This window comes from Homo sapiens, chromosome 15 (genome assembly GCF_000001405.40).
Source record: "Homo sapiens chromosome 15, GRCh38.p14 Primary Assembly".
Classification (NCBI taxonomy): domain Eukaryota; kingdom Metazoa; phylum Chordata; class Mammalia; order Primates; family Hominidae; genus Homo; species Homo sapiens.
The window spans coordinates 65,795,338-65,815,238 of NC_000015.10; the positions used below are offsets into that span (position 1 = coordinate 65,795,338).

At 39.4% G+C, this 19,901-nt stretch overlaps 1 long non-coding RNA gene across 2 annotated transcripts in view, besides 1 other annotated feature; it reads left to right on the forward strand.

Annotated features, from left to right (window-relative positions):
* The window catches only part of LOC105370866 (uncharacterized), a 68,011-nt gene that overhangs the window by 2,865 nt on the left and 45,245 nt on the right, over nt 1-19,901 (forward strand). The window lies entirely within an intron of this gene.
* Nucleotides 14,492-14,656: a silencer, noted in NCBI's record as "fragment chr15:66102167-66102331 (GRCh37/hg19 assembly coordinates)". NCBI's record gives its function as "represses an EF-1alpha promoter that drives an FKBP-Casp9 reporter gene in an ReSE screen in HepG2 liver carcinoma cells {active_cell/tissue: HepG2}" and the evidence as "EXISTENCE:reporter gene assay evidence [ECO:0000049][PMID:32094911]".

A 19,901-nucleotide genomic window follows, 5' to 3' on the forward strand; every position in this document is an offset into this window, starting at 1 on the left:
CACAAACCTGATGAAATTATTTTTGAAAGAAATTATCTGCCAGCCTGGGCAACATAGCAAAACCCCATCTCTACCAAAATACAAAAATTAGCCCATGATGGTGGTGCATGCATGCCTGTAGTCCCAGCTACTTGGGAGGCTGAGGTGGGAGGATCACTTGAGCCCAGGAGGCAGAGGTTGCAAAAAAAAAAAAAAAGAAAAAAGAAATTATCTGAACAATTTTCAAGAATAATAGTAAGAAAAGTCATGTTAGAAGTGACAAATTCTGAAATTCTGGCTGGGCATGGTGGCTCATGCCTGCAATACCAGCACTTTGAGATGCCGAGGTGGGAGAATCACTTGAGCCCAGGAGTTTGAAACCAGCCTGGGCAACATATCAAGACCTCATCTCTACAAAAAAAAAACAAAAACAAACAAACAAAAAACAGACATGGTGGCACATGCCTGTAGTCCCAGCTACTTGGGAGGCTGAGTTGGGAAGACTGCTTGAACCCAGGAGTTCAAAGCTGCGATGAGCTAAGATCCCACCCCAGTATTCTGGCCTGGGTGACAGAGCAAGATCCTATCTCAAAAAAAAAAAAAAAAAGAAATATAAATTCTAAACCTGGTGCTTGAGAAGAGTGGCCAAGGACAGGAGAGCTGTAGCAGTCTGAGCCATTGCTGTCTCTGCCGTTTTGGTAGCCATCTGAGGAGTCATATCTTTGACTCAGCACTTTTTCAAATTTCTGAAAATGATCACTTCTCAACATTTTCCTCAAATTAACAATTTTACCTCTTTCAGCAATTCCTTATAAGTTGAATTTTTACTTCTTAAATTATCTGCAGGGGAGTTGTTTTAAAAATATGTATTTTAACTGTCATTGACCACGAAGTATACTCCTCTGACTTTCTTGAAGTGGTAGACAATATTTTCATAACTTTTAACAAATTCACTTCAGAAAACATTTGTATACAAAACACTGCACTAGGCACAGAAGGAAAGCAATGACAGATAAGCACACATTAGAGGCAAAAAGTATTTCCTAGGCATATAACTTTAGTAAAAGTCAAACTATGACAAATTCTATGCTAGATGGATAAACTCGTTGCTATGGGAGCCCAAGCGAGTGGAGTGATTAATTCTCATTGTGAGAATTGAAGGTGACAAAATAGACAAAATAGATGGCATTTGGACCAACCCTGAGAGAAACTGGACTTTCTCTGAAGGATAAGGACATCGTTGTTTGGGGAACGGGGCTGAGGGTGGTACAAGGAAGGAAAGGTGTGTTTGTTTGTTTGTTTTTACTTTGCATCTTTATAATAGAGCTAACAAAAGAAAGAGATGCTCATAAATTGTTGCAATACTTTGATTGTCTTTGGGAGTGGCCAGAGGTTCAAATTCTTTGGAAGGATGGATATCTGTGCTGACTTGCAGGAAATATGAGTCAGCTTTTCTCATGAACTCAGCACTGTTGTTATAGCTAGGCTATTTGGGAAACCTGAAGCAGAACAAATCAGACACCACAAGTCTTTTCTTTTTATTGATTGGCCCAGACATGCATCCTACAAGGGTGGACAACAAGAATGCCCTTTTTATTGTCAAGACTTAAAGGAACTCTGCCAGCAAGGGGAAACACCTGCAATTGAGAATAAACTAAAAAAAAAATTTAAAAAAAGCCCTCCTCTTTTCTGTCTATATAATCACTCAGAATAGGAGACACACACGTCTTTAGTCCATACCTCTCTCCTGCACTTCAGGATTGTGTATTCAACTGCCTCCAGATAGCTCAGTCCCAAGTATACCTGAAATTCAGCATTTAAAGGTGAAGTCATTATCTTTACCCCAAACCTGTTACTCCTATAATTTCTCATTTCCTGAATAATTTATAGTTGAACTCACCATGCACCTAAAAGCTAAAGCCGCCTGTGGAGACTGAATTTTTTTTTTTTTAGGAGTTCGAGACCAGCCTGTCCAACATGGTGAAACCCTGTCTCTACCGAAAATACAAAAATTAGCTGGGCATGCACCTGTAGTCCCAGCTACTCTGGAGGCTGAGTCAGGAGAATCACTAGAACCCAGGTGGCGGAGGTTACAGTGAGCCAAGATCATGCCACTGCACTCCAGCCTGGGAGACAGACTCCATCTCAAAAAAAAAAAAAAAAAAAAAAAAAAAAAAGTCAAAACCTGAGTCATCAACTCCTCTTTTTCCCTCATTCATTGACACCTAATTAATCTTGAAAAAGAATTGTTGTCATCTCCTTAACATCAGTAGTATCCTCCCTCACTTCATCCCCATTCCCACTGACCTAGTTCAAACCCACACCTTTTGGTTTGTTTTTTAGCCTGAAATTTTGCAGTAGTCATCTAATTGGATTTCCTATCTCTCTCTCTCTCTTTTTTTTTTGAGATAGAGTCTCTTTCTGTTGCCCAGGCTGGAGTGCAGTGGCGCAGTCTTGGCTCACTGCAACCTCCACCTCCCAGGTAACTGGGATTACACCTCCTGAGTAACTGGGATTACAGGTGCATGCCACCATGCTCAGCTAATTTTTGCATTTTTAGTAGAGAGGGGACTTCACCATGTTGGCCAGGCAACGAGCTCATCTCAAACTCCTGACCTCAAGTGATCCACCAGCCTCGGCCTCCCAAAGTGCTGGGATTACAGGCGTGAGCCACCACGCCCAGCTGGATTTTCTATCTCTTCTCTTTCCTTCTTCATCCATCCCTGTGTTGGCAGGCTGATTTTTCTAAGGAAACATGATCAGTTGTTCCAGACATCACTGGAGATTCCTAGCTTCCTCCTCTCCTTTCTATTCCTGGTGGAAAGTTCATCAATGTCCAGTCCTGATGTTACCTAAGAAGAGCAGGGGACTAGGGCCTATGCTTCTCTCTCCCCTACCCCTCTCTAGTGTGGTGGAGATAGTCTCTCATTTGGAACACTTTCAGACTGTCAACACAAGGCTCTTAATTGAGAGAAAGCATTTAAGCTGCTGCCGCCCCTAAAAGCATCTTGTTCTTTCCTACGTATGTGCCTGCAGACAAAGAAATTGATCAGTTAGTTATATCAGGTGCGCCAAATCAAGGGCAAAGTTAGTCCAGAAGGGAGAAACTCTTAACTATTAGCTTATTCAAGATTTGGAGAACAATAGACTTTTAATAATAAACATTTAAATTTAAAACAAAAAAGATTTCTAAAGCCTCTTGTAAGGTGGTTACCTTGTTAATTAAATAATCCCCCAAAGCTATTTTGGGCTCTCTAGTGTCAGCATCACTTTATTATCTCCTAGAAATGGAAAGCCTTCCTCTACATTTCCCATTCATAACCCTGCAAGTATTCATATCTGGTTGTAATTATCTTAACGGCAGATTTAATTTTAATAAACATTGATGTATTAGATTTATGTCATAATAACTTACATAGTTTAAAATTATGCTAAAAGAGAAACAGAAGGAAGTCGAATTGAGATGAGGCTTTTACTTGACTATATTAGATCTGAAATGGAAGAAAGGCTTTTATTTTATTTTCTTTAAAATTTTTTTACTTTGTTGAGATGGCATTTTGCTATTGTTGCCCCAGCTGGAGTGCAATGGCACGATCTTGGCTCACTGCAACATCTGCCTCTGGGGTTCAAACGATTCTCTTGCCTCAGCCTCCCAAGTAGCTGGGATTACAGGCATGCGCCACCACGCCCAGCTAATTTTTGTATTTTTAGTGGAGACGAGGTTTCACCATGCTGGTCAGGCTGGCCTCAAACTCCTGACCTTAGATGATTCACTCACCTCGGTCTCCCAAAGTGCTAGGATTACAGTTGTGAGCCACCACACCTGGCCGAAAGAAAGGCTTTTGAAGATGGCACAATCAGGGGGTGCAAACTGCTCCCTACCTGTGCAGTTCTCTCTGGAAGGTAATGGATGGTACAGTTGAAGAAAAGAGATCCACAGAACCCTTGATGTCAGGCTAAAGAGAGGATATAATTATACAGCTCATTTTTTTTGTTTTTTGGGTTTTTTTTTTTTTTTTGGTTTTTATTTGTTGGTTTTGAGACAAGGTCTCACTATGTTGCACAGGCTGGTCTCAAACTCCTGGGCTCAAGTGATCCTCCTGCCTCAGTCTCCCTAATAATACAATTCATTTTTAACTAGCTGTATGCTAAAAGGGAATGGGGAATTAGTGGCATTATGAAAAGAGACAAGAAACATATTCTTCCATTTCAAATTCTGATGATCACATAAAGTAAGGCCCTGTTTGCTGCAAGGGTAGGGCCAGGAGTTGAAATACTAAGGGTAATAAAAATGGTCATCAGTTGCAAAGGAAGATCTCAAGGTTAGAGTTTAGGTAACATGTAGGACAATTGGACAAGGGTAGGGCTAAATGGATTGGGCTATAAAAAAGTTAATGTGAGGCAGGCAATTTTTAAAAAATGGATTTACAGTTTATCATCTGACCTACATCATAATGTCTTCATGAGAATGACACTCATAAATTGATTTCATGTTTCTCTGATCCAGAACATAGGATTATTTTTAGCAGGAATGAATCTCAGAGATCATCTAGTGAACATTTCATTTTCAAAAAGTGACCATTTCCCTCTGCGGCTTGTCCAAAGTCATATACAGTACACCCAAAAGCATGAGAAGAGCTAGGACTAGAATCCAGATTCCTAGATTCCTAGTTTTTTAGTTTGTCTTTTACATAAATATCAATCGGTTCTTGGAATTCAGCATTCCAAACTCCCCATGAAATACACTGGATACATAGGAAAATCCTATTTTGGAGATGAAGAAACTAAAGCTCAGAAAGGCGTAATGAGTTTTCCCAAATCACATGGCTAGACGCCTTACAATCCCTGGGCCAATAGGCTTCTACCAAACCACACTGCCTTGTGGATTTTTAAAAAGTAAAATCTTAAATGCCATGTGCCTAGGCATAGAATTCATTCCCTCAATCTTTGTACTGTTATATACAATGCACTCTGCTAGTTGTCAGGAAAGATTACAAGACTATTTATTTTGTAAGACTAGATTTCTATTTTGCACGACTGAATATTGAACATTACCTAATTATTAGGGAAATGCATGTTTTTTGGTGGTTGATAGCTAGCAAGAAGTAAGTCTTGGTATACTACAACATTAGGAATATTTGTAAACTTTCACCTAAGGATGGGCTTCATTCAGATTCTTTACTGTTAATATATTACCCCATCCAGCTGGGTGCGGTGGCTCACATCTGTAATCCCAACACTGTGGGAGGCCAAGGCGCGTGGATCATGAGGTCAGGAGATCAAGACCATCCTGGCCAACATGGTGAAACCTTGTGCCTACTAAAAATACAAAAATTAGCCGGCGTGGTGGTGTGCCCCTATAATCCCAGCTACTCAGGAGGCTGAGGCAGGAGAATCGCTTGAACCTGGGAAGCGGAGGTTGCAGTGAGCCAAGATCGTGCCACTGCACTCCAGCCTGGGCGACAGAGTAAGACTCCATCTAAAAAACGGAAAAGAAAAAAAGAAAGAAAGAAAAAAAGAGTTCAGTGAAACTGGCCAAGTTGCATTAGAAGGAGAAAGTCAGTAGAGGTTAGTGTTGCAATCTGTAAATATACGTAAGGAATAGATCTAAGGAAGAAACTAAAAAAAGTAAGCAGAATGAAAGTATGGCCAGTAGTGAAACTATAATTTAGGGTAAGAAGTGGTTGCAGCTTTAGGAGAGTTTGCTGCTGGATTGTTTAGTTGACCCTTTATTTTACTTACTTAGGTTTGGTTTTATTTTTCTACAAAACGTATGCAAAGTCTAACACATTGCCTATGTAAATTTACTATGAACTACAAAATCTAATATAGAAGCTTTATTAGTACTTCAACTAAGGCACATATTTAAGAAAAAGCAGAATTTTAGAATGTTAGTAAGTCCTATGTCTAAAAACAATCAATGTAAAACAAATATTCATACCTAGAGAACACAGTGAAACTGTTTATAAGGAACTACCAAATGCAAAATAGACTCTAACTGATGTTATATAGAGTTTTCCAAAGCAACAGGGAAGTGGAAACCAGCACATTTGGGGATTAGAGTCTATTGGAAATAGTTACAGATGAAAGTTTTGGGAAAAATCGATAATGCCCACCCCAGTTCTCAGAACTGAGGAATTCAAAGAATTTGAATAACTGAAGCAGAAGTTCACATGGGTAAACAAGAATGCCATCTAGACTGGATGTAACTAAGCTGCTAACTAGAGTGGCTCTGAAAATATCTTCCAAAAAACTTTGCTCTTGTCACTACTGTCACTTTGAATTAAGAGAGAAAGATGTATGGCTTAAATGAGTGCACTGCCTGTGAGACAAGGTTTTGTTCCATATGTTAACCAGCTGTCGAGTAAAATTTGTCATTTTCCAGGACTGAAACAAGAAAGACACTAGTGATATATGTTTTGTTTGGAAGAGACTATGCAAAGCTTTGTACCATGATTATTAGCCTATCATTCCTAGGAAGCTTCATACCTGGGACCTAAGAAACCTCACTCAATATTTTTCTTTTTGGCCTAAATTTTTTGAAATAGGGAGTTACAATGCTAATTTTTTTCAAAAACTGTGCAGATACCTCTGGGAAACTTTTGTAAGGTCCTTTTAAAATATATATATATATTATATATATATAATATATATATATTATATATAATATATATAATATATATAAATATATATATAATATATATAATATATATAATATATTAAATATATATATAATATATATAATATATATATATAAATATATATATAATATATTATATATAATATATAATATATAATATATAATATATATAATATATATTATATATATAAATATATAAATATATAATATATATTTATAATATATATATAAAATATATTTATGTTATAAATATATAAAATATATTTATGTTATAAATATATAAAATATATTTATGTTATAAATATATAAAATATATTATATATATAAAAATATATAAATATATAAAATATATTTTATATATTTAAAATATATAAAATATATAAAAATATATAAAATATATATTATGTATATTTTATATATTTAAAATATATAAAAATATATATAAAATATATATATATATAACTTTAGCTGGGCATGGTGGTATATGCCAGTAGTCCTACCTACTGGGAAGGCTGAGGCAGGAGGATCACTTGAGCCCAGGAGTTCAAGGATGAAGAAAGCCATGATCGCACCACTGCACTCCAGTCTGGGTGACAGAGTGGGACCCTGTCTCTATTAAAAAACAAACAAACAAAAATCTATAACTTCAGAGGGAGTAGGAAAAGGAATTTTATTTTTAGCCAGCTGGGCATGGTGGGAGGCTCCTGTAGTCACAGCTACTTAGGAGGCTGAGGTGTGCCTGAGCCCAGGAGTTTGAGACCAGCCTGAGCAACATAGTGAAACCCCATCTCTAAATCAAGGAAAGAGAATTTTTGCATAGGATGAGGACTTGAGTAGAAGGCCTGGACATGAGGTAACTCATGGAAGGACTGTTTTTTTGTTGTTGTTTTATTTTTTTGTTTTGCTTTGTTTTTTGTTTTATTCACAACTGAGAAATTGTTAAGATATTAACAAATCCTAGTCCAGATTCAGGGATACTGGGGAGAAAACCCTGACTATTTTTTGTTTGTTTGCTTTTTAACTAACTACCTTCCTTCCACTCCAAAAACAAACCCAACTATATATTAATCATTCCCCGCTTTTGAGTATTTTATAATCAAGCCTATAATTGTTTGAAGGACAAATCAGCTCTTTTATTACACTACGTGTCACTCATTTTGTGAACAGTTGTCCCAGTTCTTAAGTACATAGTTTATAACAACCTATGTGTTTGTATAGGATGATTGTTAATTATCATCATCAAAAACATTCACATGTCTATATATATCCACACAAGTAGGCATTTACAAAGGAAATTCCAAAGACATATTCCCTTTCCTCAATCAGCCAATAATAACATTGACCCAAGACAATTAGTTTATGTGATAGATTTCTTGTTTCTCATTTTTATTCCTAAACCCCATCTCAAACCATGAAACCTCAAAAGGAATTGTGTAGGATCATATACCTTATTGGTACTCGATAAATGATGATCAACTGTTGTTATTCCATTCGTCTTCATAATTTTCTCATATTATAAAAAAGACAGTCATTTATTTATATGAGTACTTGCCTTTAATCCTGTTTTATCCTAAGCTGTAGAGTCTCTGCAGGAACCAACCACCTTAATCTTTATTAAAAACAGGGCTCATTCAGGGTAGAAGCTCAGAGAACTTATAATTTTTTTGTTTTACAGGCTCAGTGGCTCACACCTGTAATCTTTTTTTTTTTTAGATGAAGTTTCCCTCTTGTTGTCCAGGCTAGAATGCAGTGGCACGATATCGGCTCACTGCAACCTCCACCTCCCAGGTTCAAGTGATTCTCCTGCCTCAGCCTCCCAAGTAGCTGGGATTATAGGCCCGTGCCACCATGCCCAACTAATACTTTTATATTTTTAGTAGAGACGGGGGTTTCACCATGTTGGCCAGGCTGGTCTCGAACTCCTGACCTCAGGCGATCCACCCACCTCGGCCTCCCAAGTTGCTGAGAACCACCATGCCTAGCCACACCTGCAATCTCAACACTTTGGGAGGCTGAGGCAGGTGGATCACTTGAGCCTAGGAGTTCGAGACCAACCTGAGCAACATGGCAAAACTCTGTCTCTACAAAAAAATTTTTAAAAAAATTATCCAGGTGTGGTGGTCCACGCCTGTGATCTCAGCTACTTGGGAGGCTGAGGTGGGAGGATCACCTGAGCCCCAGGAGGTGGAGGCTACAGTGAGCCATGATTGTGCCACTGTACTCTAGCCTGGGCAAGAGAGTGAGACTTGTCTCAAAACAACAACAACAACCAAAAAAACTGGTTATTTACTAAAAGACCTTCATGTGAAAGTTACATAGAATACTTTTTCTCCTGGGCCAGGTGTGGTGACTCACACCTGTAATCCCAGAACTTTGAGAGGCTCAGGTGAGAGGACTGCTTGAGTTAAGGAGTTCAAGACCAGCCTGGGCAACATAGTGAAACCCCCATCTCTACTAAAAATGAAAAAGTTAGCTGGGCATAATAGTGTATGCCTATAGTCCCAGCTACACATGAGGCTGAAGATGGGAGTATTGCTTGAACCCAGGAGGTTGAGGCTGCAATGAGCTATGATAGCACCACTGCACTCCAGCCTGGGCAACAGAATGAGACCCTGTCTCAAAAATAAATAAATATATAAAGAATCCTTTTTTCTCCTAATCTCTCTCTCTCTCTCTCTCTGTGTGCTGTCTTCTCGGTTTGCAACAGTCACAGCAGCTATGTTACAACCACAGAACAAGGTTTTGCAACAGTATGGCCTTGAAATAGAATACTGCCCAGTTGAAAACTTAAGCAATCAAAATGGAATATATGAAACAATGCCTGCTAGACTTCATGTGTTGCTTCTTATTAAGGAAAGCTATTGCCTTTTTCAGGAGAATGTTACTCTTTAAGTGGCAGTTTACCCTCTTTATATCAGAGTTCTCAATTGCTGTACTATTCAGACATAGCAGTGCAACTAAGACATAATCCTGTTGTCTAAAGTGTTACTTTAGTCACTAAAATGCAGCTTCAGAAAATGTATGTGTGCAACTACTTGGTAAAAGTCATTGGTAAAAACTTACTGTAAATGTCTACGTACCTGAACTCCATCAGCATGTGAATTTAACAGCTGCAATAGTGCTCTGAAGCCAAAGCCTGTTTGTCAAAAATGTGTTAATCTCTTTCTCTCTCATTTTTTTTTTCAAGAGGCCTCATTACTCAGGCCCCAGATGACTTGCTTGGGTTTCAAAGTGTTTTCTTTTTCCTCAGTTTTGATTCTGATATGAAATTGAAATGATAAATAGCAGCATGTGGGCCACCCTGATACACTGAAAATTCTCCTTAGGCTACACATGGTTCATGATAACTGTGTAATATGCTGCCATTAGTACTGCTTATCTGGCCATCTCAAAATATTGTGTAAACACAGCATATCCACTCAAGGCCAGCCTAATGGGAGTAACTCTTCCACATTTTCTCCATTCCTACATGCATAAGGTTATTTTTAATGTGGAAACTTGAAGAATTTTTTTAAAGTTTTTTTTTCAGCAATTGTGGGTAGATTGCCCACCTTCTTATAAATGTCACACGCCGGTGGCCAACAGTTCAGTAATAGGGCTTTCCTAACCACACACAGTGCATCCAGCCAATCATCAGTCTCATGCTCTATCAAATAGTTTTAATCGTGTGACTGGGGGCACTATTTTAGGACAATTAGGTGAAACTGAACCCTCAGAATAAGCACGATTCTGGGGCAATATAGAATACCAGTTTCCTTTGCTCTTTTTTTTTTTTTTTCTATACAAGATTTTTGGTTTCTTGACTGGTTGGAATAACTTACTTTAGGTGATCTTGGCATTGGTTGAATTTTTCTATAAATTAAGATTTGTGTTAAGTAGTTTAATGGAAAGTCATGTACCGAATAAGCTGTTATAAGCACTCTTAAATCCTTCCTTATATAGCACTTGAAGCTGTGAGGAGTTACATAAAATTGTCTTCACTTAATCTATTTTGATTCATAGTTAATGAAAAGTGATTGTTCACTTGTTACATATAACAGGACCAAAGGATGGTGAAAATTTGACCTGAAAAGTGAAGAATCTCTTGCATTTGTGACAGTGTCTATATAATACAAAGAAAAGTGAAGATTTGATGTGTACTCAGTTCTAGTTATTTTGAGAAATGGGGAAAATTAGTCTGGACTTTGTGGTCTAAATTATTTCATTTGGATTGGTCTCTTTGGGTTTGACTCTTTACATTAAAAAAAATACTATTGCTTAAAAAAAATACTATTGCTCAAAAAAATGGCAGTGTGTCCATGTTGCTGATTCTCATCAGAAAAAGAAAGCAAATGAAAGCAACTATTGAAGTCTCCAGCAAGAATAAACAACCATGTATATTCCTCTTACATGCATTACAGAGCAAACGTAGTCATTCAACTTGCAGGAAAGAATCACACATTATGATTTTCATTTTGTTTTTCCCAGATTGAGGGAAAACTTTGTTTGGAAGTTTACCTGCATTTTAAAGCCCATTAATAAAAAGGATCTGGAGTTCAACTCTTATGAAGCTCACTATGATTCTTTAGCTAAAAGTTTCTTGGCTTAGCCTTAGACTTATGATTCAGATTATTCTCGGTCTGCTGGCTTAGTTCAGAAACCAAGCACCCTGTACAACTCTGAATTAGAAGTCACAAAAAAACCCACTACTTTTCTTAACTACATGTATTTTATAAGAAGATTACGCCTTCTAAAATTAGCTCTATGATGGCAAAACAGCTGGATGAAAAGGGAAAAATTCAGAGACTTGTTTTGCTGTTTTAGACATAAAATTCAACCGCCTCTTTGATTCTTAATCTCCATATGTTTTACAGTTTTATAAGACACACAGAACTGTGGTACATATGTATTTGAGTGTGATATGTATGGATTTTTTATTTGCTGCTACATATTAGCAATCTAAAAATAGAAATACTTTTCATTTTTAAATAATGGGGTTTCGTGCATAATCTTGTAAGAATGAGAATTGAACTTTTTTTTTTTTAGCAAGTTTGCCTTTTGCCAAAAGATACTGTCAGAGACCCTGACATTGTATTTTTACCCAGTCTGAAAATCTTTGTCTTTTTTTTTTTTTTTTTTTTTTTTGAGACAGAGTCTTACTCTGTTGTCACCCAGATTAGAGTGCACTGGCATGATCTCGGCTCACTGCAACCTCTGCCTCCCGGGTTCAATTGATTCTCCCTGCCTCAGCCTCCCGAGTAGCTGGGACTACTGGCTCGCACCACCATGCCTGGCTAATTTTTTTTTTTTTTTTTTTTTGGTATTTTTAGTAGAGACGGGATTTCACCATGTTGGCCAGCCTTGTCTTGAACTCCTGACCTCAGGTCATCCATACACCTTGGCCTCCCAAAGTACTGGGATTACAGCCTGGCCAACATGGTGAAAGAAACCCTGCCTCTACTAAAAATACAAAAAAGAAAAAATTAGCTGGGCGTGGTGGCGCACGCCTGTAGTCCCAGCTACTCGGGATGCTGAGGCAGGAGAATTGCTTGAACCTGGAAGGCAGAGGTTGCAGTGAGCCAAGATTGCACCACTGCACTCCAGCCTGGGCAACAAGAGCGAAACTCTTTCTCAAAAAAAAAAAAATTTAATTTTTTTTTTTTGCAAATGCAGAGAGTATTGAAACCACTGCCACAATCAAGACATGAACACACTCCATGAAAATTCTCTTGTGCTACCTACCCCTTTGTGATTGAACCCCCACCCCACCCCCAAGCCCAGGCAATCACTTATCTGTTCTCTGCTCCTATAGTTTTACCTTTTCCAGAATGTCATATAAATGGAATAGTACAATATGTAGTCTTTTGAATCTGGCTTCTTTCACTTAGCAGAAGTTTTTGTTTTTGTTTTTGAGACAGAGTCTTGTTCGGTCGCCCAGGCTGGAGTGCAGTGGTATGAACACTGCTCACTGCAGTCTTGACTTCCTGGGCTCAAGTGATCCTCCCACCTCAGCTTCCTGTGTAGCTGGGACCACAGGCATATGCCACTGTGCTCACCTAATATTTTTATTTTATTTTTTGTAGAGATGGAGTCTCGCCATATTGCCCAGGTTGGTCTCAAACTCTTGGGCTCAAGCAGTCCTCCCACCTCAGCCTCCCAAAGTGCTGGGATTACAGGCATTAGCCACTGTGCCCTGCCTGCAAAATGCTTTGCAGATTCATTCATATTCTTGTGTGTTTCAAGAGTGCATTCCTTTTTAAAATATATATAATATATATACATATTATATATATGTATACATATATTATATATATTATATGTATTATAATATATATTATATATTATATGTATATACATATTATATATATAATATGTATATACATATTATATATATAATATGTATATACATATTATATGTATACATATTATATATATAATATGTATATACATATAATATGTATACATATTATATATATATTATATGTATATTTTTTTTTCTTGAGACAGTCTCACTCTGTCCCCTGGGCTGGAGTGCAATGGTGTGGTCTCGGCTCACTGCAACCTCCACCTCCCGGGTTCAAGCAATTCTCCTGCCTCAGCCTCCTGAGTAGCTGGGACTACAGGCGTGTGCCACCACACTCAGCTAATTTTTGCATTTTTAGTAAAGACAGGGTTTCACTATGTTGGCCAGGCTTTTGAACTCCTGACGTTGTGATCCCCCCATCTCAGCCTCCCAAAGTACTGGGTTTACAGGTGTGAGCCACTGTGCCTGGCCTAAAAATATATTTTTTAAAGGTTCTGCAAAAAAGATAATAGCTGGATACTGTGGCTCATGCCTGTAATCCCAGCACTTTGGGAGGCTGAGGCGGGCGGATTGCCTGAGGTCAGGTGTTTGAGACCAACCTGGGCAACATGGTGAAACCCCATCTCTACAAAAAATACAAAAATTAGTTGGCATAGTGGCACACACCTGTGGTCCCAGCTACTTGAGAGGCTGAGGTGGGAGGATTGCTTGAGCCCGAGAGGTAGAGGCTGCAGTGAGCCAAGATCATGCCACTGCCCTCCAGCCTAGGCAACAGAGTGAGACCCTTGTCGCAAAAAATAAAAAAAAAATAGTAATTTATATTTAAAAAGAGGTGGTATCTTACTATGTTGCCCTGGCTGGAGTGCAGTGGTTTTTCACAGGCAGGACCTGACTGCTGAAGAACTCATTCCTTATTTATTTTATCTTATTTTTTTGAGACAGAGCTTCACTCTGTTGCCCAGGCTGGAGTGCAGTGACACGTTCTTGGCTCATTGCCACCTCTGCCTCCCAGGCTCAAGCAATTCTCCTGCCTCAGCCTCCCGAGTAGCTGGGCTTACAGGCGTGCTCCACCATGCCCAGCTAATTTTTGTATTTTTAGTAGAGACGGGCTTTCACTATGTTGGCCAGGCTGGTCTCAAACTCCTGACCTCAAGTGACGCGTCCGCCTTGGCCTCCCAAAGTATTGAGATCCAGGTGTGAGCCACTGCTCCTGGCCTCATTCCTTTTTTATTACTCTTGGCATTTCATCATATGGATGTGCTACAGTTTATCCATTCACCAGTTGAGGGACATCTGGGCTATTTCCAGGTTTTGGTTATGACAAACAAAGCTACCACAAACATTTGTGTTCAGATTTTCAGTGAACAATTTTAACTTCACTATGGTAAATACCTAGGAGTGAGAGTGCTGGGCCTCGGGTAATTCTGTGTTTAATTGTATTTTTAAAACTGCCAGCCAAGCACGGTGGCTCACGCCTGTAATCCCAGCACTTTGGGAGGCTGAGGTGGGTGGATCATTTGAGGTCAGCAGTTCGAGACCAGCCTGGCCAACATGGTAAAACCCCATCTCTACTTAAAAATACCAAAATTAGGTGGGTGTGGTGGCAGGCACCTATAGTCCCAGCTACACCTTAGGCTGAGACAGGAGAATCGCTTGAACCCGGGAGGTGCAATTGAATTCAACTCAATTGCAGTGAGTTGAGATTGTGCCATTGTGCTCCAGCCTGGGTGACAGAGCGAGACTTCATGTCAAAAAAAAAAAAAAAAAAAAAAAAAAGACACTCTTAAGAGAATGAAAAGACAATTCATACAGAGAGAGAAAATATTTCTCCTTCTCTGTCTTCTCTGTCTTGCAGATATGCAAATCACATAACTGACATTTGACTTGTGTCCAGAATACATAAAGAACTCCCAAAACTTGACAATAAGAAAACAAACAGCCCAGTAAAATAATGGGCAAAAGACTTGAGTAGACATTTAACCAAAGAAGAGGCATGGCTGAAAAACAGACACATGAAAAGTTGTTTAACAACATTAGTCATTAGAGAAATGCAAATTAAAACCACAAAAAATACTACTACACAACTGTTAGAATAAAATAAACAAATAAAGCAACCCACAAACATTTGTGTTCAGATTTTCAGGTGAACAATTTTAACTTCACTATGGTAAATACCTAGAAGTGAGAGTGCTAGGCCTCAGGTAATTCTATGTTTAACTGTATTTTTTTTTTTTTTGAGACGGAGTCTCGCTCTGTTGCCCAGGCTGGTGGGCAGTGGCACTCTGTCGCCCAGGCTGGTGGGCAGTGGCGCGATCTCGGCTCACTGCAAGCTCCGCCTCCCAGGTTCACACCATTCTCCTACCTCAGCCTCCCGAGTAGCTGGCACTACAGGCTCCCGCCACCACGCCTGGCTAATTCTTTTTGTCTTTTTAGTAGAGACGGGGTTTCACCATGTTAGCCAGGATGGTCTCGATCTCCTGACCTCGTGATCCACCTGCCTCAGCCTCCCAAAGTGCTGGGATTACCGGCGTGAGCCACTGCGCCCGGCCATTTAACTTTATTTTTAAAACTGCCGGCCAGGCACAGTGGCTCATGCCTGTAATCCCAGCACTTTGGGAGGCCGAGGTTGGTGGATCATTTGAGGTCAGCAGTTCAAGACTAGTCTGGCCAAGATGGTAAAAACCCACCTCTACTAAAAATACAAAAATTAGCTGGGTGTGGTGGCAAGTGCCTGTAGTCCCAGCTACTTGGGAGGCTGAGACAGGAGAATCACTTGAACCGGGAGGTGGAGGTTGCAGTGAGCTGAGATCACGCCACTGTATTCCAGCCTGGGTGACAGAGCAAGACTGTTTCAAAAAGAAAAAAGAAAAAACAAAACAAAAAACTGCCCAACTGTTTTCTAGAGTGTCTGTATCACTATCCATTGCTATTATCAATGTATGAGAGAAACCAGTAGCTCCCTATTTTCACAAGTGCTTGGAATTGTCAGATTGTTTATTTTAGTTATTCTGACAGTTGTGTAGTAGTATTTTTTGTGGTTTTAATTTGCATTTCTCTAATGACTAATGTTGTTAAACAACTTTTCATGTGTCTGTTTTTCAGCCATGCCTCTTCTTTGGTTAAATGTCTACTCAAGTCTTTTGTCCATTATTTTACTGGGCTGTTTGTTTTCTTATTGTCAAGTTTTGGGAGTTCTTTATATATTCTGGACACAAGTCAAATGTCAGTTATGTGATTTGCATATCTGCAAGACAGAGAAGACAGAGAAGGAGAAATATTTTCTCTCTCTGTATGAGTTGTCTTTTCATTCTCTTAAGAGTGTCTTTTTTTTTTTTTTTTTTTTTTTTTTGAGATGAAGTCTCGCTCTGTCACCCAAGCTGGAGCACAATGGCTCAATCTTGGCTCACTGTAACCTCTGCCTCCCAGATTCAACCCATTCTCCCGCCTCAGCCTCCCAAGTATCTGGGACTACAGGCATGTGCCACCATGCCCAGCTAATTTTTGTATTTTTAGTAGAAACGGGATTTCACCATGTTGACTAAGCTGGTCTTGAACTCCTGACCTCAATGATCCACCTGCCTCGGCCTCCCAAAGTGCTGGGATTACAGGCATAATACAAAATTTTTGTTTTGATGAAATCCAAATTGTCAGCTTTGCTTCTATGGATCATGTTTTTGATATTCTATCTAATAACTCTTTGCCTAACCCAAAGTTGCATATATATTTTTCCTATATTTTATTCTAAAAGTTTTATTTGAGTCTATGATGCATTTTGAGTTTATTTTTTGTATCAGTCTTTGTCTTTTAATTGGATAATTTAATTCTTTTATATTTAATGTAATTGCTGATATATTTGAATTTGTAACTATCATCCTATTTTTTTTTTTTTTTTTTTTTTGGACAGATGCTTGTTCTGTCGCCCAGGCCAGAGTGCAGTGGCGCTATCTCGGCTCACTGCAAGTTCTGCCTCCCAGATTCAGGCCATTCTCCTGCCTCAGCCTCCCAAGTAGCTGGGACTACAGGCGCCAGCCACCTCGCCCGGCTAATTTTTTGTATTTTTAGTAGAGATGGGGTTTCACCGTGTTAGCCAGGATGGTCTCGATCTCCTGACCTCGTGATCTGCCCGCCTCGGCCTCCCAAAGTGCTGGGATTACAGGCATGAGCCATCGCGCCCAGCTACCATCATCCTATTTTGTGCTTTCTGCATGTTCCTTCTGTTCTAGTTTACTTTCCTTCTTTGCTTTCTTTTGAATTATTTTCTTTTTCATTTCAACTTTTCCTCCTCTACTAGTTTGCAATTTATACTCAGTTTTTGCTTTCTTTTCATGGCTCATCAACAGTGCTATTTAAAGTGTGGTTTTAGGCCCGGGACGGTGGCTCACACCTATAATCTCAACACTTTGTGGGGCTGAGGTGGGAGGATCCTTTGAGCACAAGAGTTCAATACCAGCCTGGGCAACACAGTGAGACCTCATCTCTACAAAAAATAAAACAAAAAATTAACCCAGCATGATGGCACATGCCTGTAGTCCCAGCTACTTGGAAGGCTGAGGCAGGAGAATCACTTGAGCCTGGGAGTTCAAGGCTGCAGTGAGCTGTGATCATACCATTGCACTCCAGTCGGGGCGATAGAGTGAGACCCTGTCTAAAAAAAAAAAAAAAAAAAAAAAGAAAAATGAAAAGAAAAAGCATGGTCTTAAATAATTAGTATCAAGCTGGGAGCTTGTTATAAATATAAATTGTTAGGCCTTCCCCCAGACCTTTTAAATCCTGCTTGTTTTTTTTTTGAAATAAAGGTCTCACTCTCTTGCCCAGGCTGGAGTACAGTGGTGTCATCAGGACTCACTGCAGCCTCAAACTCCGTGAGTCAAGGGAGTCACTACACCCAGCCAGGATCAGTTTCTTAAGTACATTCTTTAGAACTTCCTTTTATGAATATTGTGGAAGCAAAATCTCTCACTTAATTTGCCTTAAATGCCTGTTTTTCATCTTCCTTTTTGAACTTTTTATTTATTTATTTATTTATTCTTTTTTTGAGATGGATTCTTGCTCTGTGGGCTAGGCTGGAGTGCAGTGGCTCAATCTTGGCTCACTGCAGCCTCCGCCTCCCGGGTTCAAGCAATTCTCGCACCTCAAACTCCCGAGTAGCTGGGATTATAGGTGCACGCCACCACACCTGGCTAATTTTTGTATTTTTAGTAGAGGCAGAGTTTCACCATGTTGGCCAGTTTGGTCTTAAACTCCTGACCTCAAGTGATTCACCCACCTCGGCCTCCCAAAGTGCTAGGATTACAGGCATGAGCCACTGTGCCTGGCCAAAAGCTATTTTTTGAGGGGTAAAATTCTAAGTTCGCACTTATTTTTTTCTCTTGTGAAGTCAGCAGTCAATCAGCTTCTGAGATCATTTGTCTCTGGTATGCTGTTGTTTCACTATGTTGTGTTTAACTGAAAATACTTTTTTTTTCAATCCTGGTTGAAATTCAGTGGACTTCTTAAATCTGTGTTTTTAAACAGATTGGTCCTAAAAATTTCTTAGCTACTGTCTCTTCAAATATTACCCTTTTGGCCAGGCATGGTGGCTCACACCTATAATCCCAACAGTTTGGGAGGCCAAGGCAGTAGAATGACTTGAGCCCAGGAGCTCAAGAGGAACCTGGGTAACATAGTGAGGCCCCGTCTCTACAGAAAATAAATGTTTTAATTAGCTAGGCATGTTGGCACATGCCTGTGGTCCCAGCTACTCGGGAGGCTGAGGTGGGAGGATCGCTTGAGCCCAGGAGTTCAAGGCTGCAGTGAGCCATGGTTGTGCCACTGCACTCCAGCCTGAGCAGCAGAGCAAGAACTTAACTTAAAAAAAAAAAAAATTACTTCTTTACCATTTTCTCTCTCCTTGCCCTCCAGAACTCCAAATTTATCAATACATGTTAGATTGTCTTAATTTATCCTCCATATCTATTTACTGCTCTTTCATGTTTCCCTTCTTCTTGTCTTTCTTTACTGAAGGCTGGATAATTTTCTATTGTCATATCATTCAGTTCGTTTATTTTTCTGTTCACTTGTATGTAATCTGAGGTTAAACTTGTCCATTATTTTATTCATTTCATTTCTAGAAGTTCTATTTTTTAAAACTATTAGGCTATTTTCTATAGTTTCCTGTTTTAAATAGGTATTTTCTGTTCCTTTTTTTTTTTTTTTTTTTTTTGAGACAGGTTCTCACTCTGTCACCCAGACTGGAGTGCACCCTCGACCTCCTTGGGCTCAAGCGTTCCTCCCACCTCAGCACCCCAAGTAGCTGGGACTACAGGCGTGTGCCACCACACCTGGCTAATTTTTGTATTTTTGGTAGAGATGGGGTTTCACCATGTTGCCCAGGATGGTCTGGAACTCCTGGGCTCAAGCAATCCTCTTGCCTTGGCCTCCCATAGTACTGTGATTAAAGGAGTGAGCCACCATGTCAGCCTTAAATAGGTATTTTCTTTCTTCTTTTTTTTTTTGTCAAGAGAATTAAATCGTTTATTGATTACACATGATAATGGATGACACACAAACTTCATTCCCATCTATAATTTTATCTGGTACCATTATTCAATTTAGATACATTGCATAGGATGTGCCAACAATCTTTTTTTTTTTTTTTTGAGACGGAGTCTCACTCTGTCACGTAGGCTGGAGAGCGGTGGAGCGATATCAGCTCACTGCACCCTCCACCTCCTGGGTTCAAGGGATTCTCCTGCCTCAGCCTCTGGAGTAGCTGGGAGTACAGGCACAGGCCACCATGCTCAGCTAATTTTTTTTTTTTTTTGTATTTTTAGTAGAGACATGGTTTCACCTTGTTGCCCAGGATGGTCTGGATCTCCTGACCTCCTGATCCGCCTGCCTCGGCCTCCCAAAGTACTGGGATTAGAGGCGTGAGCCACCACACCCTGCCAACAATCATTTCTATAACCAATAATTCCATGATTTTGCTTGAGTAATCCCTTTTAATGATGAACTTCAGGT